The sequence below is a fragment of the Homo sapiens genome, chromosome 12 (assembly GCF_000001405.40).
Source record: "Homo sapiens chromosome 12, GRCh38.p14 Primary Assembly".
Classification (NCBI taxonomy): Eukaryota; Metazoa; Chordata; class Mammalia; order Primates; family Hominidae; genus Homo; species Homo sapiens.
In genome coordinates this window covers 101,269,419-101,294,217 of record NC_000012.12, presented here as the reverse complement: position 1 = coordinate 101,294,217, position 24,799 = coordinate 101,269,419, and the positions used below count along the sequence as shown (strand labels likewise).

Genomic DNA, 24,799 nt, shown 5'->3' with positions numbered 1-24,799 from the left:
TAAAAATACAAAAAATCAGCCAGGCGTGGTGGTGGGTGCCTGTAGTCCCAGCTACTTGGGAGGCTGAGGCAGGAGAATGGCATGAACCTGGGAGGCAGAGGTTGCAGTGAGCCGAGATCATGCCACTGCACTCCAGCCTGGGCGACAGAGTGAGACTCCGTCTCTAAAAAAAAAGAAGAAAGAAAAGAAAAAAAATAGCTAAAAATCATTAGACCCGATGGCTGCTAATAAGATGGGAGCAGAAAACAAATGACTGCCATTTAACCTGGTTTGTCTTCCTAAACTACAGACGTGTAAGCAGTATTTGGATAAAAATAAGATTAAAAAAAAATAAAAAGACCAAAGGGAACACGGGAGAAAGGAAAAATGCAGTTGTTAAACAGAGCAAGATGAAGAGTCTTCCTGGGGCAGAAAGAAACAGATCTTGGACAGGTACAAAAGTGTTCTTTTTAGGCAAATGAGAATATATAGTATTAAAGGCTAAAAGGAAGAATATTGAGAGGACAGATACAGAGATATGTTTCCATGATGTATACTGTAGGGTTACTAGTTAGGAGGAGGGCCAAGTGTTTGATGAGAAGGAAGAGAAAAAAATAAAATAAATTCAGGATTAGATAAGAACATTTTCTCCCTCACTCAGTTACCTTATTTTGGAGCAATGAAATCAATTTGCAAACTTCCACCAGTGCAAATTGTTTCACAAACTATTTTCTATGCTTCAAATTCACATAAAAGTTTCTTAAACTGTTTTTTCAATTTTACCACACGGTTCTGTAACTACCTAAAGGATTATTAAAAAAACAAGTAATCTAGAATTGAATATAATTTCTTTAAAAAACATATTGACTAAAACATCAAGCACTTATCCTGTTCCTCTCAAAAAACAAACAGAAATAACAGGATTTCAAATTTGATCGTTTTTTCCTGACAGATTTGTTTTTAAAAATACTCCGAACTTAGTAACTTGCTTACCTGCTCAAACTGCTTCATGGCAAACATGACTTCAGAAAAACTGAAAATTAAACGTTTTTCAAATCTGCTCTCAAATATCTGTGACCAAGGTAAAAAATATTAATGTAAGTACACAGAGAGTATTTTCCCCATCCCCCCAGCAAGCAGCTATAGAAGGGAATGGCAGGGACACTTCACTCAGTGCTCTGTCCAGTTGCCCGGCCTTCTCCAAAGGTGCTTCCACAGATGCAAAGGGCTTCTGCTGATTACACAGGGCTCTGCCTAAAGGCTGCTCAACTCTTGCCCAGCTACAGTGAATTATGAAAGGGCAAACAGCATGATTGTATATCTTCCCTCAAAGTGTACTACTGTGCTCCATTAAGCTAGAAAGAACTTAACCAACCTTTCTATTTCCAATCCTACTTCCAAATTCACTAAAATGCAAATCTCATCAAATCATATCCCTGCTTGGAATTCTTTCAGGGTCCTCCACTAATGCAGGATAAAACCCAACCTAACTTTTCAAAGCCAAGCCAGAGCTTTGCTGATATCATGTCATATCATGTGTCCATGCGCTCAGACTGCAAACATTTATGAACACACGTCTTTTCTGTTCCCTCTCTTAGTATTTTTAACCCCGCTTCTGACTGGCAGACTGCTTTTCAACCTTCAAGGACTATCCCAAATACAAGTCCTTTGAAAAGCTTTCTCTGTTCCTCAACCCCAGGCAGAATTAATAGTTATAATTCAATATATCTCCAACAGACAAATTCGCTAGACTATAACTACTCGGTTCCAGGCTCCATTTCTCCAACAACTATCAAAACCTGCAGGCATCACTGTTTACCCTGGAATAGCCAGCTCATACCCAGCACACAGTAAGCTCTACTGCTTACTGCAATATGTGCTTACATATATTGCAGAATATGTATAGATTTAGCTTTTGCCACACTTTATTTTGCTTATTTGCTATATAAATTAAGCTTTTATCACACTTTATTTTGTTTATTTACATTACTGCATGCAATTCCCATTTCCTTAACAAGATTATAAATTCCTTGAGGGCAGAGCCTTTGTCACACTTCACTTGTATTCCTCAGAAGGTTACTCAATGCTAAACATATTATTAACTGCTCAATTAATATTTGTTGAAGTAAATTACTTTTTCTATGGTTTCTTTGATGAGGGTCTCCGGCAAGGAAACATTTTCACCCAGGATCAAAGCAGAAATTACATCCAAGAGGGTCTCCCAGCAAGATGTGGAGAGACTGGCTACTTGCAGTGTTTGAGATAACACCTGCAAAAAGAAAAAACAATGCATACTCAGCAATCAGCTTTTAAAAACCAGACTCTCGAGCATATTAAGTTGGGAACTCACCTTACAGACATCAGCAGGCGTGGGTATCTTTGTCCCACTTCCATGTTTTACAAGTATAAGGTATGTTTCCAACAACCTTTTAATCTGTTCAGAACTTTCACAACAGTTAGTTTTTGTTACTTTTGTGTGTAGATCCAAGAGCGATTCCTGCAAACAAAGAATTTAACAGAGAGAATATAAAGTATCAAACTCAACTGTTAATCCAACAATAAAAACTGTGGGACAGTTCAACTTTTCCCATTCTCTTGCTTTGGAAGAAAAAGATACATTTACCAGGACTCACTAACGATAACAGCTAACATTGGCTGAGTGCATTGTTCTAAGTCTTTTTTTTTTTTTTTTTTTTTTGAGATGGAGTTTCACTCTTATTGCCCAGGCTGGAGTGCAATGGCGCAATCTTTGCTCACCGCAACCTCTGCCTCCCAGGTTCAAGCGATTCTCCTGCCTCACCCTCCCAAGTAGCTGGGATTGCAGGCATGCGCCATTTTGTATTTTTAGTAGAGACAGCGTTTCTCCATGTTGTTCAGGCTGGTCTCGAACTCCCAACCTCAGGTGATCCACCCACCTCGGCCTCCCAAAGTGCTGGGATTACAGGTGTGAGCCACTGTGCCCGGCCCATTCTAAGTTTTTTACAAGTATTCACTCATCATCCTCACAGCAACCCTGAGGGAGAGAATATTACTACCCCCATTTATTATCTGAAGAGACTGGGGAATCGAGATTTCAAATAATTTTCCCAGGTTACACTAGCAGTAAGTGGAAGGGTCAAGATTCAAACAGGCAGTCTGGCTCCAGAGCCTTCTACTGCATCTCAAGATAACATATCAAATAAAAAATAGCACAGGGGGGCAGAGGGAAGGAAAATTTTAATATGTGTACAGAAGTATAAATAAAACAATTATAAAATATAACTTCTAGGAGTGATTTGCAAAACTGAGAGCAGAAACAGTAAATTCTTAGACTCCTTATCAAAAACCCATCCTTAAAGATTAGAACTCACTTGCAAACATTCAAAAAATGTACCAAAATGTTCCTTGGAGATGTAGGATACAGTGGATTTGACCATGTTTTTGAGTGTTTCTCCAATTAACATCCATGGTAGTTGAGTTTCTGTTTCAGTGACTGGTCCTAGCTTTCGCAAAATTAGCTTCACTGCCTGTGGGAATACAAGTCATTAACATTAATATATAAACTCTTATTTTCAAGTATTGCTCTGGGAGTCACCACTCTGATTACATTAGCTACCTTAAAAATCAGGTCTGGAATAGTCAAGGATATGGCAACTTTGATGGTTAATAACGTGTCCCAAAAGGAACTTCTAAACTAGGATGGGAATTTTATCATTACAACTGTTCCCTCCCCACCTGCCCTTGCCCATTAATCAATTTATCTTACCCCCTAGCATCCAAAATAAAGAAGACATCAATGGCTCTGTAAGTAACATCTCACTGTCCAAGGCCTACATTGGGTAAGCATTGTTACTGAACACCCAACACTCCTCATCTAGTGCTATGTACTCTAGGCTGTCTTCCCTCCACATCATTTGCCTCATTCTTTTCTACTTTCTGTTTCATCCATCCACATAGACTCTAAGCACCCCTCCCCATTATGTACCTGGCCTGTACAGGAGTGAAACATATTTCTAACTCCTTTGCACATTTCAAAGAGCAACTGTCCAACACCTTCAACTTTTTCTGGATGTTTATCAAGATCAAGAAACATTAAATTGAAAAGTGCGTTTTTATCAGAGACCTAAAATATAAAGTAGAAATGGAAAATTATATTCACAAACATAAACATATCCAAATGAAGAACTCTCATTTGCTATTCTATATATTGTTATTTAAATATACTTAGGAAAAAATTGTGAAAAGAACAGACATTTGTAATGATTTCAAACTACTCTAATAGTGTGTTCTCACTTGGAATGTCACACAAAAGAGTGAATTCATTGGTATTACAGGAAGATATGTACTACAAAAAAAACTACAGAAGTCAACATTCTATCTTTTAAAGTAAATACATTTGTATTTTGTATTGTATACAGTAAAATATTTGTATTTTATGAAATAAAAAATTTAATATTAATGTTTTTGTTTTATTACAAAAACCCTCTAAAATTTACTATGAATATTTTATACAAACACAAATGACACCATGCTACCAGTTACTTCCAGGAAACTATTAGAAAAGTTCTTGTTAATGTCACAGTTCATGTATTTACTGACTTGAATTAGAGAGCATTTTTGATATATACACACTGAAAGCTATCACAAACCTAAATAACAATACAATAGTGACCCAAATTAGATCACATCAATTTGTGAGCAACAAATAAGTCTTACTGTGAGATAAATTCAAAATAGTAACAGATTTCTGTTAAGTATATATATAGATACATAGAAAAAATTAGCCCATAATAACCACATTTTTAAAAGATATCTACTTCTATTCATCAGATTATTATTATTATTATTATTACTAGTGTGTGTGTGTATGTGTGTGTGTGTGTGATATGGAGTCTTGCTCTGTCGCCTAGGCTGGAGTGCAGTGGTGTGATCTCAGCTCACTGCAACTTCCACCTCCTGGGCTCAAGCAATTCTCATGTCTCAGCCTCCCAAGTAGCTGAGGATACAGGTGCGCGCCACCACGCCCAGCTAATTTTTGCATTTTTAGTAGAGACGGGGTTTTGCCATGTTGGTCAGGCTGGTCTCCAATTCCTGACCTCAGGTGATCCACCTGCCTCGGCCTCCCAAGGTGTTGGGATTACAGGCATGAGCCACCACGCCTGGCCTATTCATCAGATTCTTGATGATTAGCAACAAACAGATAAAATACCAGACTAACCTTTCTCATCAAAAAAGTAAAACTTTCAGCAGCAAAATTTCTTATATGTAGTTTTTTATGAGCCAGGAGTGTGCTGTACATGCTATACATGAAAAAAATAAGATACATTTCATTAATCATATAATTGTAATAAATACATACTACATGTCAACAATATGGGCAACAATGTGCTGGGTATGCAAGGAATACACAGCAGGTATCAAACAAATTTAAAATCTCATTCATTTATGGAGACACCCACATGTTGAAAGGAAGACTTGACCACAGACATGAAGAGTCCTAGGACTGGTGGTACTGGTTTTACAAACAAGACTCCAGGAAAAGTTGAAATTTGTAATGAGCTCTGAATGAAAGAAGAATTAGGTGGGGACTGCAGTCCATATTATTGGTATAAAAGCAAGAGCAAAGATGAGGCAGGTGGAAATGATCATGGTCATGACAAGGAGGCTGGTCCATCTAAAAGAGGAAAGATGATACAGTAGAGGAGAGCAGCTATGGATAAAGTTGGTCAGGTAGACAGGTCTAGCTTACATCTGTATAAGCACTTACTCTGTGTTACGCCATTTAATCAGCACAATAACTCTATGGGATGGGTACTATTATAATCCTCCCATTCTACAGATAATGAAAGTGAGGCAGAAAGCATAAGCAACTTGCTCAAGGTCAAGCAGCCATGCATCTATAACTAAATAATTACTTATATATAATCACATTGTTAAATTTGGTCTCCCTAATGATAGAAGGGTATGGAATATATCTCTCCAATTTTCTCATAACCCCAGTACCTAATAGTTCCTTGCTGACAGCAGGTACTAATAAATGTTGGCTGAATGAGAAATGACCATTTTCAGAAAGACTAATTTGGCAGCAATATACAGGATAAAATAAAGGAGGAAAGAAGAGTCTGCTAATTCAGTCAGAAAGGTGCTCAAGTCATACAAGCTTGGGCTAACAGGCATGAAAGAGACTGGAAGGAGAGGCAAAATGGCAAGGGATGAACCCAGTAGACATTTCAGGAGTGCCCACAATGAAGCTGAAGACCTTACAGCGGTCCACAGGGCCCTGGATGATCTGGCGCCTTACTACTGCTTCTCTGACATCACTTAGCTAGTCTCACCCTTATACAGGCTGCTCGGCCACCTAAAACTTCTCCCGGGCATGTGCCCAAGACATTCTCCCCCTGCTAAAATGTAAACTTTGTGAGAAGAGCATTTTTTATCTGTTTTATCTGTGACTGTATCTCAAGTGCCTGACATACAGACAGTGTCCAATAAATATTGACTGAGCAAATGCATGAATGACAGAATCAAGAGGATGTGGACACCTCTGAAGACAACTGGGTTAGTGATGCCTCTGATATTCCAAAACTCAGAGACAGGAAGAACGTTAGTATTAATGACAGAAAATGGGCAACCAAACAGGGCCTGGCATACGGCAGACACTCAATACCTATTTACTGAACACTTGAATGAATGTACAGATAAGAGGAGTTGATTTAACAGGAAAGTGTTGAGTTCAGTTTCAGTAATACAAGTGAAAATAGCCAGGCTACTGAAGTTGTCACACCGAAAGCAAATAAATTTAGAACTGAAGAGCCTGACTTAGGAGACATAAAAGTGGCAGCTTTTATGACAGCTGAAGTCATAAAACTAAATCAATTATTCCCCAAAGACCTTGTTGGTTGTTTAATGAAATAATATTGGTTTCTAACATATTTGACCAAAAGCTTCATAGGGAACTAGTAAAGGCTGGAAAAAGATTTCTTTCTCTTTCTTCATTCAAAGTTCCTAAAAGAGAACGGTGGGCTGAGTGAAACGGGTGGCATAAAACAAAGTCTATTGTCCCATACCATGCATACACCATTTACTGTGGGGTAAGGGGCTGATGACTGATATTAAACACTCCTGTGGCAATTATAGAACATGAAAACAACCGGAAGACCAAGTGGAAAATCCCACCAAACCCCAGACTTAAACAGATAATAAGACAATTTATGCTTACTTTAAACAAAAGGTTACTACAAAATTCATTCTCTTTCCTTGTCCACATTTACTCACAAATACTGAGTGTCTCTTTCACCTTAGTAAGTATTAGTGGCTGGGGAAATGTCAGTGTTTAAAACAGGGCTCTTAACCTGTCTTAAACCTCCCTTATACCAGGTGTAGAGAGGACAGCAATACATTATAACCAAACAATTCTGGTAAAAGTTGTGTGACATAGGTGGTTAAAAAATGCCAAGAGGATAGAGAGTACAAAATTTTATTAATACTTCTGGCAAAGGTGCCTGTTTGTGGAGGCTGTAGGGACCGAGTCAGGCCTTCTTGGGTGGGTATACTTCCAGTAGCTGGAGAGGAGAGATGGTCATGGCAACTCAGACTGGCAGACTAGATTGTGGACCACTTTGGCTGGAGAATCAACTTTGTACATGGAAACAATTAGGCACTGAGCTGGCAAAGTGGTTTGGAGTCATAAAGAAGCCAGGGAAAAAGAAGCAGGCAATTAAAAAACATACTAGAGAGAGAAAGGGGTTACCTGTATATACTGGACATGTCCTTCACCATCAGTCTCCACAGGTACTTATAAAGATATGATAACGAGGTGAAAGCCCATTCTAACAACTCTGTGTCCTGAGTCTCCAGGATCGAGGTGATAGTCAAAAAAAACTCTGGAAAGTGTGGGTAGAAATCCATCTGCAGATCTCGTGCCAACTGTACAACCAAACTGGATTAAAAAAAGAAGCAACTGATCATGTGGATTTTTTTAAAAGGCTACAAATCTACTTAACGATAGTAGGTGGCCTATGATCATAGGATTAATTAAATAAAAATACTTCTAAATCAAGTCTGAAAAATTATAAAATTCTTTAAATCTTAAGATCTCAGCAAAGAAATCAGGCAAGAAGTTACATTCCATCATAAGTTGTAGCCAACTGTTCCTATAGTGTCAAAGAAAAATGAGATTATCTTAGTATATAACAAATGCGAAATTATACCCCAAGATTCCACTTTATGGTAATGCACTTATTCCTAACAGAAAAGGAAAATCCTCCTTGTTTCTAAATTATGAGCACCTGATCTGCGGTATATGTAGCTTTGAAACACAATCTTTCTTAAAATTCAGGCAAATATAGTTGTGAGCTTTCTCTCAAGATGCTACTTACTCCAAAAGGGGTTGATAGGCAAAACTGTTCTTAACTTGCAGGTGAGTCTTCAAACTCTGAACTATCTCGTTTTGGTGATACACCAACTGATTGAATGATTGGCATTTGTCAATAACTTCTTTGTAAAATTTTCCTGAGTGGGGGAAAAAAAAATATGTTCTTTTCTATCACACCACTATTCAGCTGTATGGAACATATAAAGTGCAAACTATGGGTGAATAAAATAGAAACGAAATAGAAAATACCGAAGTGTTCTGTGAGGTTTAATTCTCTCCATTTCAGCAGACCCTCAAAAAAGTAGGTTTCAACCTCCTGTCAAGATTAAAGCAGTCCATTAATCAAATAACTCTAAGAAAGCAATGATCAAGGTAAATAGAATAATGATATATTAATATCTTAAGACAATGATACTGAAGAGTTTAAGAACTCCTTTTAGTTTTTTAAAACAGGCCATTAAGTAACACACTAAAAAGCAATCAGAAGTTATCAATAGGCCACTTATAAAATGCTGTTTTGTTGATTTGGTTTCAGCAAATAATTTTCTGGGGCCTATATATATTGTCCACTAAGGGAAAATTATTTTCTGTGTTTTTTTATAATTTTAGGCAAAGAATAAGGTGTTGGTTCTTTACAGTTCCTTCATTCTGCTTTTAGAAATATGAATTACTACAACCTTATAAAGAAGTAATATGGCATTCCTGTTAAAATTCAAAATAGTTACGCTCTTTGACCCAGGTAGTTCTTATAAAGTTTGCAAGCCTTTAAGTAAAAGATGTTTATTCAGCTTAACTACAGTGTGGGGAAACATTAAACAGGCTAAAATATCCGACAATAGGAAAATGGTTGGAATAGCCCATGGTCTATATATACTAAGGTATATTATGTGGCTACTAAAAAGAGCTATATCTCTATTGAACTAGAACTACACTGAAGATATGCCCCCAAAATGATAAAAGTTATGCAGTGAGAGGGTATGGCAGGATTCAATTTTCCTTAAAAAACAAAAATAAAAAACCCTCTATAAATGTTTGTACATACGAACATGAGAGGACAGTATGGAAGAATACAACTATACTGAACTGTCAGTGTTGGCTTCCTTGGGAATTAGGGGTGGGAGGAGTGAGATAATGGGCTTTTCGTAAGTTTACCACTATGTTACTTAACTTGTTAACATGGTATCAATTACTTTGTACTTTGAAAGGTAAAGCCAATAAATTATCATACATGTATGACATGTATGTATACATGTACGTATGTGTGTATATAGATGTATAAATAAATGCATACCCCCCCAAAACAATCATTCTACCAAAAAGATACATGCCTTCGTATGTTTATCTCTACACTATCCACAATAGCAAAGACATTGAATTGTCCCAGGTGTCCATCAACAGTAGATTGGATAAAGAAAATATAGTACATATACACCATGGAATATTATATGCCTTAAAAAAGAATGAAATCGTGTCCTTTGCAGCAACATGGATACAGCTGGAGTCCATAATACTAAGCAAATTAACATAGGAACAGAAAACCAAAAACTGCATGTTCTGACTTATAAGTGGGAGCTAAATATTGAGTACACATAGACATAAATATAAGAACAATGAACACTGTGGATTACTAGAGGGTGGAGGAAGTGGGGATGGGTTAAAAAAAACTACCTGTGGGGTACTATGCTCACTACCTGGGTGACAGGATCCATACTCCAAACCTCAGCATCACACAATATTCCCATGTAACAAACCTGCACAGGTACCCCCTGTATCTAAAATCAAAGTTGAAATAAAAATAAAAATAAATACAAATATGTGTTTATAGAGAGAGAGAAAAAAGAGAGAATAAACACATAAGCACACATGCAAACAGCATGCCAAATCTACAATATCAAAAAAAAAAATCCTTAAACTGTTCTTTGGAAATCTTTAAAATCAATAGTTAGGCAGAATAGATACTATGTAACCACAAATATTAAAAACTAAAAATTAAAAAAAAAGGCAGAAAAGAAAGAGAATCCCATTAAATTTTGTTTTAGGCTGGGGACAATGGCTCATGCCTGTAATCCCAACAGTGGGAGGCTGAGGCAGGAAGAGCATTTGAGCCCAGGAGTTTGAGACTAGCCTAGGCAACAACACGAGATCCTATCTCTATTTTTCAAAAGTAAAAATATTAAAATTTTTTTGTTGTTGTTTTCATGTCCTTTAAGGCATTTTCATGTCCTTTAAGGCAGAAAGAAAATATGCAACACAGTTTAAAACTTAAATGCAGAACGCATTTCTAGCCTAGCACAGACCTGGCGTATGTCAGCTATGTGTGAGAGACCATGTCACGTCCTTTTGCAAGGTAACTCTGGAGCTCCTTTCACCAAGAGACGGAGTCTGTTTCCTCACCCTTTGAATCTGGCCTGGCCTCCTGACTTGCTTTGACTAATAACATGCGATGAAAGTGACTCTCATGACCAAAGCAAAACTTTATGAGGTCTTGACAGCTTCTGCCTTCACTCTATTGAAAAGATTCTGCCACCATGAAAAGAAGCCTAGTCTAGCTTATTGGGGAATAAGAGGCCATGAAAAGAACCAAGATCAACAAGCCACAGCCAACTGCCAGACACGTGACAGAGGCCATTCTGGACCATCCAGTCCAGGATTCTAATTTCAGGCTGTCTTCTCTGCCTTCTTAACACTGCCTCTTGATACCTTCAACCTCTCCTGTGGCTTAAATTATTAATCATATTCTAAATGCCAAATCTGTAATTTCACCTCTGAAGTCACCTATACTCCAGATCCATATATACAAACATCTTTTGGACACTATCATTTGGATGGCCAAAGGTATTTCAAATTCAAGCCCCAAATGGAACTAATTATCTTATCTTTACAACCTTGTGCTCCTTTACCTATAAATATATCTTGATGAGTAACATCCTCAACCATTCAGCCTTAACCTCATTATCTTCCTTGCTGCAAACCCAGTAGGTCACAAGTCCTATCCATTCATTCTACTTCCTCAACATCTCTGGAATCTTTCTCTTCTCTCTATCTTGATTGCTGCTACCATAATCATTTCTTACTTAGATAACAGTCAAATCCTCACAACTGGACAACTGAGATTGGATCTCCAAGTTAAAGGCATGTTACACAGGACCTTAAAAGGCTAGCAGAGGAATCATGACATGATGAAGAACTGCAGTCCTGCTCTTTTCTCCACACTAAAGCCAGAGAGATTGAAAATTTAAACCTGATCATGTCATTCATTCCCCTGCTTACAGTCCTAGAACTCTAAGTCCCTACAGCTTCAGGATAAAACCCCAACTTAGCTTCACATATGAAGTCCTTTATGATCCTTGCCTATTTCTCCAGCTTTATCTCACCAGTTGCCCCCTTGCCCCATCCCAGTCACCATGAATACAAAAAAAAAACACCCTATACACACCTATAACCACACTGGACTGCTTTGCAGTTTCTTGAATGTGACATGCATTCTCTAGCTTCTGTTCCTTTATATAGGCTTCTCCCTCAGCCTGGAACAGGCTTTCCTGTCCTCTTTACCATGCTAAAACCTATATAAACAAAATTCAGGTGTCACCTCGTCTAGATCACCGTTTTTTTGACACCCCTAAAGAATGTAGGTTAGGTTCCCTTTACTATGAGTTCTCAAAGCACAATGTGCTCACCTAGACGACATCATTTAACACATTGAATTTACACAGTGGAGATAATGCATTCAAAGACCCAGCGAGTGGAGTCTGATTATAGTAAAGAAGAATATTACGAACTGAGATTGGATCGCCAAGGTATAGGCATGTTACGTACGACCTTAAAATGCTAGGAGGAATAACGACATGATGCAGAAAAAGACTTCTGCATAAAAGGATGACAAGGCCGGGCGTGGTGGCTCACACCTGTAATCCCAGCACTTTCGGAGGCCAAGGCGAGCAGATCACGAGGTCAGGAGATTGAGACCATCCTGGCCAACATGTCAAAACCCCGTCTCTACTAAAAATGCAAAAATTAGCTGGGTGTGGTGGCACGTACCTGTAATCCCAGCTACTCGGGAGGCTGAGGCAGGAGAATCGCTTAAACCTGGGAGGTGGAGATTGCAGTGAGCCAAGATCACGCCACTGCACTCCAACCTGGAGACGGAGCGAGACTCCATCTCAAAAAAATGAATAAATAAATAAAAGTAAAATAAAGGGATGACAGAGTCAGAGTATGGTTAAAACTGGAAAATATTATGTAGTCTAGCCCCTTTATTTTTATAAAGGAGAAAATTAAGCCCCGGGAAAAGGGCTTCCTCAAAATCACTTTAAAGTTATAGCTTCAGGAATATGGATCTGCAGCAGTGCTTGGAATGCATAAGGGAAAGGGAGAGGCTAGAATCACAAAGACAGCTGAAAGTCAAGTCAATTGTCTAATAGAGCTTCACCCAACAGAACTTTCTGCAAAGATGAAAATGTTCCAATTCTATATTTATTCAATATGTTAGCAACTAGCCACATTTGGGCACCCAAATTTTTAATTTACTTTAAATCCAATTTGTCATATGTGGCTACTGTATGAAACAGCACAGGTCTAAAGCATTTCATGTCCAAAAAGGAATACCTTGAAAAACAATTCACTTCTACTAACAGAAGAAACTAAAACACCATGAACACTTGAAGATTGACTAGTATCACATTCTCTTACCTCCTCATAGCTTGCAGTTCTATCAATCCGGTGAATAATATCAATATTAACATTCCCCAGTCGTTCAGCAAATGTAAGAAACTGGAAGGGAAAGTATATTTAAGATACATAATTAATTAAAATTTATCAGATCTTTAATATCTATTTGAATGCTGCATGTAGGCATCTCTAATCACAAAGGATAAGTGGAAAAATAAACTGAAAAACATACGGCCGTAAACAAATTTACTGCATCACTGTTCAAAGATAATGAATACTTCTATGTTTGCATAATTTCTCTCAGCTATGTCATTTCAAATAAAATTTCCATTGCCAGACTGGTGAGCCTAGGTGGATGCTGGCAATTAGTCTCGCTAGATCTATTAGGTTTCATACCCTCCCATAAGCATGGGGACCTAGCAAAGTCGCTGCAATAAAAGTGTTTTTAAACATATACAGACCTATGATTGTATCCTAAGGAAGACCTGGAAACAATCTATCAAGGGGCAAACAGAGAAAGCGCTGTATATTTGCCCTTAGCTGGGAATCACTCACCGCCAGCCGACTCGCCCAATTCGGTCTTTAAAGATAAAAGAGCAGGGGAGAATTGGTCCTAAGCAATCTCCTGGAATAGTGAATTTAATTCTGGACTACAGGAAATTCCCAGGACTGGCCAGACCCCATAAAACATGGGTGAAACTTGCTGTCCACACTTCTTTCCTCCTCCAACCCATGTTTACTACATCCAGTGTCTCCCTCTTTCGCCGGAGCCTCCAGGAAAGTGACACACTCGGCCCAGAAGTCTGAGGCCCCTGGAGTCTCGCTCAGAGCCTGTCTCACGACTGAGGCAGCGGAGACCCGCGGCTCCCTGCCTAAGCTCCCGCGCTCACCCGGTAGGTGTTCTCGGTCTTGTGGGAAACGGGCTTTGTCTTCATGGCTGCAGAGGGCCAGTGGCCCGCGACGGCCTCGGGAGTGTCGAAGGGATGCAACCGACAGTAAGGAGGGGAAAGCGGCTCACAGGCTATACTCTCCGATTCCCAGATGCCCAGACTTTCTCACGTGCGGCTTGAGCCCCTGGGCGCCGCCATGTTGGAGACAAGGAGGAGCCTGAGTGGGTCACGTGGACGGAAAAAAGAACGGCGCAGGCGCACCCTTTGGTGGGGTGGGGCCTACAGGAGGCGGGGCTGCGCACATAAGGGCGGGCGTTTGGGTGAGGTGTTCTTTTCACTCCCTTCGGTAAAGGTTTAGAAGACAAATGTATTTTCATTATAAAATAAAACATACCTGTAATCGTTATCAACTAACATTACTGTCCCTCACTACGTACCTGCATCGTGCAAAGATCCTTTCATCCATAATTTCACAGTAAAGCTTATTAGGGATGTTAATACAAAGGAGGTACTGCGTCTATCTATATATCTATATATAGATATATACTTTTTTTTTTTTTTTTTTGAGACGGAGTCTCACTCTGTCTCCCAGGCTGGAGGGCAGTGGCGCGATCTCGGCTCACTACAATCTCCGCCTCCCGGGTTCAAGCAGTTCTCCTGCCTCAGCGTCCAAAGTAGCTGGGACTACAGGCACCCGCCGCCACGCCCGGCTAATTCTTTTGTATTTTAGTAGAGACGGGGTTTCACCTTGTTGCCCAGGCTGGTCGCGAACTCCTGAGCTCAGGCAATCCGCCCGCCTCGGTTTTCCAAAGTGCTGGGATTACAGGTGTGAGCCACCGCGCCTGGCCGGTACTGTGTATATTTTTAAGCCAATTTGACACAAGAGGAAACCAAGGTTGTGCAGCTGGTAACTGGCAGTCTTCACTCAGACTCTAAATTTTGGTATTCTTAACCACTACGCTGTAAATAAAATTGAAAAATAGAGAAGGAGTTTTAAGAAAAATCTTTTAATTTCATGCACAACCGCTGTTAATGTTTGGTGTTTTTCCCATCACTTTAATGTCTACACATAGCATGTTGTTAAATTGTACAGTTATATATACATATATGTACAATTTTAAAAAATAATTTAAAAATATAATTATTTACCCCATTTTACATTCATTCATTCATTCAGCAACTATTTCTTGAGAGTCCTCTGTGGACCAGGTACTGTTCTGGGAGCCAAACGAGAAAGGCAATAATAGTATTAATTAATTATTTGAAAATATTCACAGCCTTCAATTCCTGGGCTAAAGTGAGCCTCCCACCTCAGCCTCCCAAGTAGCTAGGGCTACAGGCATGCACCACCACACCCAGCTCTTTTATTATTATTATTATTATTATTATTATTATTATTATTATTTGTAGAGATGGGATCTTGCTATATTGCCCAGGCTGGTATCAAACTTCTGGACTCAAGCAGTCCTCTTGGCTTGGCCTCCCAAAGTGCTGGGATTACAGGGGTGAGCCACCATGCCCAGACTGGAAATACTTGGTCTGAGATGCTTACATTTTAGTCAAGGAGTGATGTTAAGTAGACAATTGGATATATTGTTGTACAGAGCTCACTGTAGCAGTCTGGGCTGCAGACGTGACTTAAATACACCTAAATACCTCAAGTGTGAGGCATTTGCGACTGGGAAAGAGAGCCAGTAAGGTAGAAACAGACTAGTTATGGCATGGAAGCAGAGCTGGTGGCCAACTATACTGCAAATTCGAGGATAGAGAAGTGGTTGCTGGATCTGACAAGGTGAAGGTCACTGGTGACCTTGCTAAGTACAGTCTAGTTGGAAGAAAGGAAGTGAAATATGCATGGATTGAGGAGGTAATCAGAGTTGAGAAAGTGAACATAACACTTTCAAATTGTTATTGGCATTATCACATCAACATTTTCTGTGTCACCACAGGGTTGTTCTAAATATTTTAATGCCTCCATAGCATTTATAGATTTTTTTATAATAAAATATTGACGTGCCTAATGTTCCATTGGCTTTCAGTAGGCTAATAATTGGTCTTTTTTTTTTAAAAGCCTTTTATGGGTCACAGGGAAATCTAAGAAAGCTGTAGAACTTCTCCCAGAAAGATGCAAAGAAGCTCATCCACACTAAAATGTGCACGTTTCAGAGAGTTAGAAGCCTGCAGTTAACTGAGGGTAGAAGCCCCCACTCAAAGCAATATTTTCCCAACCTGTTGCCAAAATCACCCCCACATCATTGTGCCATTTTCCTTCTCTGCAATTTATTTTTGGTAATGGAGTTAACTGGACAATAAGGAGTGAAGAGAAAAATCAAAGAAACTGAAAGAACTGACACAAGTTATATTGACCATTTATTGTTTGCATTGTTCTTCATTACATGACCCTCACACACTGACTTGACTCTGACTGGCTTAACAATATGTCAATAGAACATGGTGGTTGAGAGCATAGATGCTGGAACCAGGTTGTCTGGAGGTAATCCTGGTTCTGCCATTTATTAGTAGGGTCAGTTACCCTTTCAGAATGACATTTCCGTATATGTAAATGAAGCTAACAAAAGTAGCTACCTCACGGGTGGTGATTATGCAGAGTAAATAAGCTAATGGATAAAAGATGCTTAGAATGTGCCAGACACCATAATTGCGCAAGCTCAGAAATTACTTAACCTTTCTGAGACCCAATTTCCTCATCTATAAAATAGAGATGACAATAATACCAGTCTTTCAAGATACTGTGTTGGTGCATAGAGCATGAAATAAATGTTTGCTAAGTGGATAAATAAATGACCATTTATTCTCTACTACCTGGCTACCTGACAAGTTCCTTAAGGGCTGACACCTTATACTTTTTCAACTTTGTGTCATCAGTTCCCTTGAACATAAGAGTTGTTTAATGAATGTCTGTTGAATTAACAAAGCTTATAATACTTACATTGACCCGGACAAATTTAAGAGTAATATAGTTCCAGCATTGGATGTGAATTGCACCACATGATTTTTGGTATCTCTCAAAACTAAGTTTCTAAGCTTTAATGGAATACCGAAAGCATCCGTGAAGAGCACGAGTGTTTCTTATAAACATTTCCTTGCTTCCAGCGTTTGTCCTCTGTCAAGGTATAGGATGAATATCCTATACCATCCTTTATATCCTTTTTCCATTAGGGCTCTGCCTGTCCTAACTACTCCAGCCAGTAAATAACATACATTATTTTTTCATTCTTTTATTCTTAAGCTTTATAGGGCGCTCCTGGAAGTTTTGCTTTTTAATTTTTGTTTCCTTATTGCTTAGCGTGCTGCAATTTCAAGCCAAGAAACTTTAAGAGCATGTAAGAGCTAGGCCCAGTGGCTCATGCCTGTAATCCCAGAGCTTTGGGAGGTCAAGGTGAGAGGATTGCTTGAACCCAGAAATTTGAGACCAGTCTTGGGCAACAAGGCGAAATCCCATCTCTACAAAAAATACAAAAATTAGCCAGACATGGGGATGTGCACCTGTAGTCCCAGCTACTCAGGAGGCTGAGGTGGGAGGAACACTTGATCCAGGAGGTCAAGGCTCCAGTGCTGTGATCCTGCGACTGCACTCCAGCTTGGGTAACAGAGTGAGACCCTGTCTTGAAAGAAAAAAAAGGAAGGAAGGAGAGGGAGAAAGAAGGGAAAGTAAAGGAAAGGAAGGGAGGGGAGAGGAGGGAAAGGAAGGGAAGAAAGCACATGAGGAGTTTACCCAGCCTAGACAAGAAAGTGGAATCCAGAGAAGGCTTCTTGGGGGAAGTGACATCTAAGCTGAGACCTGGAAAATGAATAGGAATTAGCCAGGCAAGGAATGGACATGAATGGTGTTATCTAGGTAGAGGGAGGAGTATAGGCATTTGTCTCAAAATGGTTGAGACAAATTTGGTTACTTTTAGTTTCCAAGGCAAAGCCACACCCTGTCAAATTAGCATTGGCCATGGGTATCATCTTTAGCATCCTTGGACTAATAATAGGAAAGAATAGGGACAAGATGAAGCTCAGAGGTAAGAAGAGCCTTGGTTTTCTCATCTGTAAAGTGAGATAGACATATGAGAAAGTCAACAGTCATATGAGACAGTTGAAAGATTAACACATTGTATCACTTCTCACAGTCATATGAGACCGTTGAAAGATTAATTAATACATTGTATCGCTTCTCAGCCTTTTGGCTAAGATCAAGTCTAGTAATTAACACATTGTATGTGGTGATCTGGAAGGGGGCAAGTCGACCTAGTGGCATGGTCTTGTTTAGAAAGCAGTTCAAGGAGTGCTGTGTATCAGGGCAGAGAGGATTTGACTCAGAACAAGGGACCAAGGAAGTGAATGTAAAAAAAAGAAAGAGAAGAGAAAGTTTTAGTAATTCTTTGTTGGTTTTTTCTTAAATAGAGACAGGGGTCTCACTACATTGCCCAGGCTGGTCTTGAACTCCTGGGCTCAAGCGATCCTCCTGCCCAGCCGAGTAGTTCTTGACTGTGGTAGTAAGGAAAGCTGATCCACGTATCTCTTCTTGAGAAAACTGTGTATTGTTGACAGTGTGTGTAAATCAGGAAGCAGTGAGAGCATGGAGTTTGGATTTGGGACAACTGGGTCCCAGTTCTAGCATTTTTCATGTATTAGCCAGTAACTGGGCAACTGACTTAACCTTTCAGCCTCAGTTTCCTCATCTTTAAAACAGGCATAATAACTAGTTCTGCCTTTTCCCTTAACGGTTGCTAAGAAGACCATTCGATATAAAGCAGGCAAAGTCCCCTGTAACCAATACAGAGGAGTTACAGAAACACTAAGTATTGTTTCCCTTTGCATTGTGTGATCATGTTCAGCCCTGATACCACAGAGCTTCTATTCTCCTTTCCTTATTTTGAAGCTCAGGCATTAGAAACATTAGACCAGAAATTGCGGATTTGTGGGGCCTATAAGCTCAGGTAGCCCACAGATAAGTTTTGTTTACCAAACATATTCTTCTTCTTCTTTTTTTTTTTAAGAGAGTGTCTCGCTCCGTTGTCCAGGCTGGAGTACAGTGGCACGATCGTCACTTACTGCCAACCTCAAGCTCCTTGGCTCAAGCGATCCTCCCACCCCAGCCTCCCTGGTAGCTACAGATACTACAGGTGTGCATCACCATGTCCAGCTAATTTTAAAAACATTTTTAGAGGTGAGTCTTGCTGTGTTGCCCAGGCTGATCTCGAACTACTGGGCTCAAGTGATCTTCCTATTCCAGCTTCCCAAAGTGCTGGCATTACAGACATGAGCTGCCATGCCCAGCATACCAGATGATATTCTTGAAATTTATTTTTATTTTTTATAATCAGATACTCTCTCAGCAGAATCACAAATGTTTTAATTTGTTAAAAATCTGAAAATTTTAGGTAAAACTCTAGATTTTCAACTTCTCTTGAAAAGTAAAAAAAAAGAAAACTGCAATACTGGGCCCATATTTTGAGAAGCAACAACCAGCTGGAGTTGAGTAGTAGTGGCTCTTTGATGCCACCACTTTGTCTCTGTGCACACCACTCCTTCCTTTTTGTCCTACCCCAGGCCCATGTCATGACTTAAGGTGGATACCTGGCCCCTGTGGAAAGCTCAGTGTGTAGCCTCTGCCTCAGAATATTCCTCAGGCAGAAGGCTGTTCTCGTCTTTGGTTTTAAACATGCCTCATAGGCAGCAGATTATTTTTCTGTTGCTTCTGCAGCTGCTTTTATTGTTTAATGCAGTGAGTGACTCAACTTGTTGTTGCTGTTGTTGTTTCTGTTGTTTGAGACAGACTCTCACTCTGTCTTCCAGGCTGGAGTGCACTGGCGTGATCTCGGCTCACTGCAACCTCCACCTCTCAGGTTCAAGTGATTCTCCTGCCTCAGCCTCCCACATAGCTGGGATTACAGGCACCCGCCACCATACCTGGCTAATTTTTGTATTTTTAGTAGAGACGGAATTTCGCCATGTTGTCCAGGCTGGTCTCGAACTCCTGACCTCAAGTGATCCACCTGCCTCGGCCTCCCAAAGTGCTGGGATTACAGGCATGAGCCACCCCGCCCAGTTGAGTGACTCAACTTTTTATAAGGGAGTCAGTGCAGTTTTTCAGTTGGTATTCAAATATTTGTAACACCTTCCCTATCCCTGAACACACACACACACACACACACACACACACACACACACACCACTGTGGTCTGTATTCATCTTGTTTTCCTTCCTCACTTTCGCTCACCATTTGCATTTCTGTCATGGACTTTAATTTCCTTATTCTTTAAAGTAAGCTATCTCAGAGGATAATCTAAATTAACCTGCTTTTAGAACAATTTAAACATCCACATACTTTTACCTACCCCTGTTTATGATTTTTATCCTTTCTTTTGATCATTAGCTAAACTGTTGGCATCATGTTTAGGAAGGATGAGTAGTCTCACCACTGGGTTGTATCTCCCCTTTATTTTCTCACCTTTCTCTTGGTTTGGTTTTGGTTTCCATTGTTACAGTGTGATTGCTTCTTTGAACACAAGGCGCTACATCACAGTACAAAGGAGCTTGGACTCTGCACCCAGCCCTCCCAGGCTCACACACTTGGGCTGCCACTGCTCTAGGAGCTTCCATTTACTCATCAATACGGGGGATACTAGTGCCCCTCATGGGGTGGTTATGAGGAGGCAATGACCTCATACATTGCTTCTCAAGTGTGGTCCCTGACCAGCAGTATCAGCACCTCATGAGAACTTGGTTAGCACTGTAAATTCTCAGACCCTGCTCCAACCCTCCTGAATCAAGAACTCTGGGGATGGGGCCCAGCAAACTGCTTTCATAAGCCTTCCAGGTGATTCTGAGGCAGGCTCTAGTATGGGAATCACTGACTTAACATACACTACAGCACCTAGAACATTGTCCAACACATACCATGTGCTACAGAAAGTGTTTATTCTTATTACTGTCTAGTCTTTACATAAATGTTTGCATCATCATTATTTAATTCTTCTATTCATCTCTCTGATATAGTAGTATGATACTGTTAGCCTTTTTATTTTTTATTTTTATGGATACATAACAATTATATATATTTATGGGCTACATGTGATATTTTGATACAAGTATACAATGTGTAATGGTCAAATTAGGGTAATTGGGATATTCATCACCTCAAGCTTTTATTATTTTTTTGTTAGAAACAATCCAGCTCCCGTCTTCTAGTTATTTTGAGATGTGCAATAAATTATTGTTAACTACAGTTGCTCTATTATGCTACCAAACACTGGATCTTATTCCTTCAATCTCATTGTATTTTTGTATCCAATAACCACCCCCTTTTTATGCTTCCTCCACTACCCTTCCCAGCTTCTGGTAGCCATCATTCTACATTCTATCTCCATGAGATCAATTTTTTTAGCTCCCACATATGAGTGAGAACACTCATATTATTTGTTTTTCTGTGCCTGGCTTACTTCATTTTACATAACATCCTCCAGTTCCATCCATGCTGTTGCAAATGATAGGATTTCATATTTTTTATGGCTGAATAATATTCCATTGTGTATATTTACTACATTTTCTTTACCCATGCATCCATTAATGAACACTTAGATTGAGTCTATGTTGATTATTATGAATAGTACTGCAATAAATATTGGAATGCAGATATCTCTTTGATATGCTGATTTCCTTTTCTTTTGATATATACCCAGCAGTGAGATTGCTGGATCATATCATAGGTCTAATTTTAGTTTTTTGAGGACCCTCTATACTGTTCTCCATAGCCATTGTACTAATTTACATTTCCACCAACAACATATGAGAGTTCCCTTTCTCCACATTATCACCAGCACCCATTATTGCCTGTCTTTTTTATAAAAGTCATTTTAACTGGAGTGAGATGATACCTCATTGTAGTTGTTTGTGGGGCTTTTTAAAATTTTGTTTTGTTTGTCAGACTTGAGCATTTCCCAGGCTGGAGTGCAGTGGCATGATCATAACTCACTGCAGCCTTGAACTCCTAGGCTCAGGCATCCTCCTGCCTCAGCATCCAAAGTAGCTGGGACTACTTGTAGTTTTGATTTGCATTTCTCTGATGATAAGTGATGTTGAGCACCTTTTTACATGCCTATTTGCCATTTGTATGTCTTCTTTTCAGAAATGTCTATCCAAATATTTTGCCCATTTTTTAAATCACATTTATTTTTACTATTGAGCTTCTTCTATATTCTGGTTATTAATCCCTTGCCAGATGGGCTTTGAAAATATTTTCTCCCCATGGATTGTTTCTTCACTTTGTTGGTTGTTTCCTTTGCTGTGCAGAAGCTTTTTTAGTTTGATGTAATCTCATTTGTCCATTTTTGCCCTTGGCTGCCTATGCTTTTGAGGTCTTACTCAGGAAATCTTTGTCCAGACTAATGTCCTTGAGCATTTCCTCAATGTTTTCTTCTAGTATTTCATAGTTTGGGGTCTCAGATTTAAGTATTTAAGTCATTTTGATTTGATTTGATTTTTGTATATGATGAGAGAAAGGAGTCTAGTTTCATTCTTCTGCATGTGGATATCCAGTTTTCCCAGCATCATTTATTGAAGACACTGTCCTTTCCCCAATGTATGTTTTTGATGCTTTTGTTAAAAAAGAATTGACTGGCTGGGCACAGTGGCTCTTGCCTGTAACCCAGCACTTTGGGAGGCCGAGGTGGGAGGATCATTTGAGGTCAGGAGTTTGAGACCAGCCTGGCCAACATAGTGAAACCCCATCTCTACTAAAAATACAAAAAATTAGCCAGATGTGGTGGCACACGCTTGTAATCCCAGCTATTCCAGAGGCCGAGGTGAGAGAATCACTGGAATCCAGGAGGCGGAGGTTGCAGTGAGCCAAAATCATGCCACTGCACTCCAGCTTGGGCAACAAAGTGAGACTCATCTCAAAAAAAAAAAAAAAAAGGAGGGGGGAGTTGACTGTAAACATGTGGATTTATTTCTAGGTTCTCCATCTTGTTCCATTGTTTTATGTGTCTATTTTTATGCCAGTATATTATGTTTTTGGTTACTATAGTTTTGCAATATAATTCGAAGTCAGGTAATGTGATGCCTCTAGCTTTGTTCTTTATAAGTAGCCTCATTTTAAATGAGGGATCTGAGGCTCAGAGAACTGCTAAATGGTAGAAAGAGTTGAAGCTGGGTCTTCTAACTTCATGTTCAGTGCTCTGTTTCATGTCCCCACACTATCCCACATCTTAAGAGTGTAAACTAATAGGGGCAAATTTAGATAAATTGGCCAGGCATGGTGGCTCACGCCTGTAATCCCAGCACTTTGGGAGGCTGAGGTGGGTGGATCACTTGAGGTCAGAGTTTGAGACCAGCCTGGCCAACATGATGAAACCCTGTCTCTACTAAAAATACAAAATTAGCCAGGTGTGGTGGCTCATGCCTGTAGTCCCACTTACTCAGGAGGCTGAGTCAGGAGAATTGCTAGAACCCAGGAAGCAGAGATTGCTGTGAGCTGAGACCATGCCACTGCACTCCAGCCTGGGAGACAGAGCGAGACTCCGTCTCAAAAAAAGGAAAAAAAGATAAATAAATGCTTGGCTGTTGTAGATATTTGTAGATTTCCTTGTCCTCTCTTTTCAGCAGCAGTCCCCAACCTTGTTGGCACCAGGGGCTGGTTTCGTGGAAGACAATTTTTCCACAGACTGGGGGCTGCGAGTGAGGGGGTGGTTTCAGGATGAAACTGTTCTGCCTCAGATCATCAAGCATTAGTTAGATTCTCATAAGAAGCACTGCAAGCTGGATCCCTGTATGCGCAGTTCACAATGGGGTTCCACTCCTATGAGAATCTAATGCCGCCGCTGATCTGACAGGAGGCGAAGCTCAGATTGTAATGCTCTTTTGCCTATCTCTCACCTCCTGTTGCGCAGCCCAGTTCCTAACAGGCCATGAACCGGTACCGGTCCGCGGCTCAGGGGTTGGGGACCCCTTTTCAGGAAACAGCATCCTGATTTTCCTTTGAAGAATCAATCTGCCTTCACTCTTAGTGTCTGAGGTTCGAGCTAGGGTCCAGGGAAGGTCTGTGTCCTAGGCTGCATTTCTTTGACAACATCATTGGCTTAGAGATGGGCAGGTACCCCAAGCTGGGCCAAGCCCCTGAGCTGAACTTTTACTAGAGCTAAGCCATAGGTAAGAAGGTGCTTCTTTTTCTTAGATTTGCCAGGATGCTAGGAGCCTGAAGTTTTTGGTGGTCCTCGTTGTCACTTCATGGAGAGGTCGGCCTGAGAATGAAGCCTATGCAAAGGAAAACAGAGGGGACAGGGAGAGAGAAATTGATAATAAGTATTGATTAGCTTATTGGATCCATCCAGTCCTTGGACTTTCAGTAACCTTAGTTCACTAATTCCCTCTTTTGTGTTTAAGCCAATTTGAGTTGGGTTCTGTCATTTGCAACCAAAACAATATAGAATTTATGCCGATAATTTAAGATTTGTATGTTGCTCATAAGATTGGAAACCTAAGCCTTCCTCCGAACACAAATATGTGAGTAAGAATAAAAAAAGTCAAATACAAAGTCTTGATGATAACAGTCAATGGGATGGATTTGGAAAGTGTCTCAGACTAGGAGTCAGAAAACCTGGGTGCTGATCCTAGGAGGTTCACTTAGCCATGTGACTTTGTAAAATGTGTGAAACTAACGCTGTAAAATATGAAAAATTAACCCTGCAACAAAAAAGTAATGTACACATACATATTTTGAATGTTGCATGATATAAAGTCAAGTAAGTAATTTATTAGAGTTGCTCCCAGAACTTTTTCTGTATATCCAATAATTAGTTTTCAATAATAGTGAAGGAAAGACCTAGGAGTGGACATTTCTCAGTCTCTCATACACCATATGCACTGATCTGGGTGACAGAATACCTTTAAAGATACACTT

At 39.8% G+C, this 24,799-nt stretch overlaps 1 protein-coding gene across 1 annotated transcript in view, besides 2 other annotated features; it reads right to left on the bottom strand.

The window, feature by feature from the left end:
• Positions 1-14,113, bottom strand: part of UTP20 (UTP20 small subunit processome component) — a 106,514-nt gene extending 92,401 nt beyond the window's left edge. Inside the window, exons 1-11 of the mRNA NM_014503.3 lie at positions 13,891-14,113; positions 13,022-13,102; positions 8,582-8,648; positions 8,337-8,469; positions 7,709-7,897; positions 5,177-5,258; positions 3,944-4,081; positions 3,330-3,485; positions 2,330-2,476; positions 2,114-2,248; positions 973-1,050 (exon numbers count right to left, since the gene is read on the bottom strand). Of these exons, the coding sequence (NP_055318.2) occupies positions 973-1,050; positions 2,114-2,248; positions 2,330-2,476; positions 3,330-3,485; positions 3,944-4,081; positions 5,177-5,258; positions 7,709-7,897; positions 8,337-8,469; positions 8,582-8,648; positions 13,022-13,102; positions 13,891-13,935 (1,251 nt within the window). The 5' untranslated portion in view covers positions 13,936-14,113. The remainder of the gene's footprint in view (positions 1-972; positions 1,051-2,113; positions 2,249-2,329; positions 2,477-3,329; positions 3,486-3,943; positions 4,082-5,176; positions 5,259-7,708; positions 7,898-8,336; positions 8,470-8,581; positions 8,649-13,021; positions 13,103-13,890) is intronic.
• Positions 13,823-14,414: an enhancer, noted in NCBI's record as "H3K27ac hESC enhancer chr12:101673582-101674173 (GRCh37/hg19 assembly coordinates)". NCBI's record gives its function as "activates a minimal SCP1, AML or CMV promoter by ChIP-STARR-seq in primed H9 embryonic stem cells {active_cell/tissue: H9 hESC(primed)}" and the evidence as "EXISTENCE:reporter gene assay evidence [ECO:0000049][PMID:30033119]".
• Positions 14,040-14,089: an enhancer, noted in NCBI's record as "active region_6861". NCBI's record gives its function as "activates an Ori minimal core promoter by ATAC-STARR-seq in GM12878 lymphoblastoid cells {active_cell/tissue: GM12878}" and the evidence as "EXISTENCE:reporter gene assay evidence [ECO:0000049][PMID:35858748]".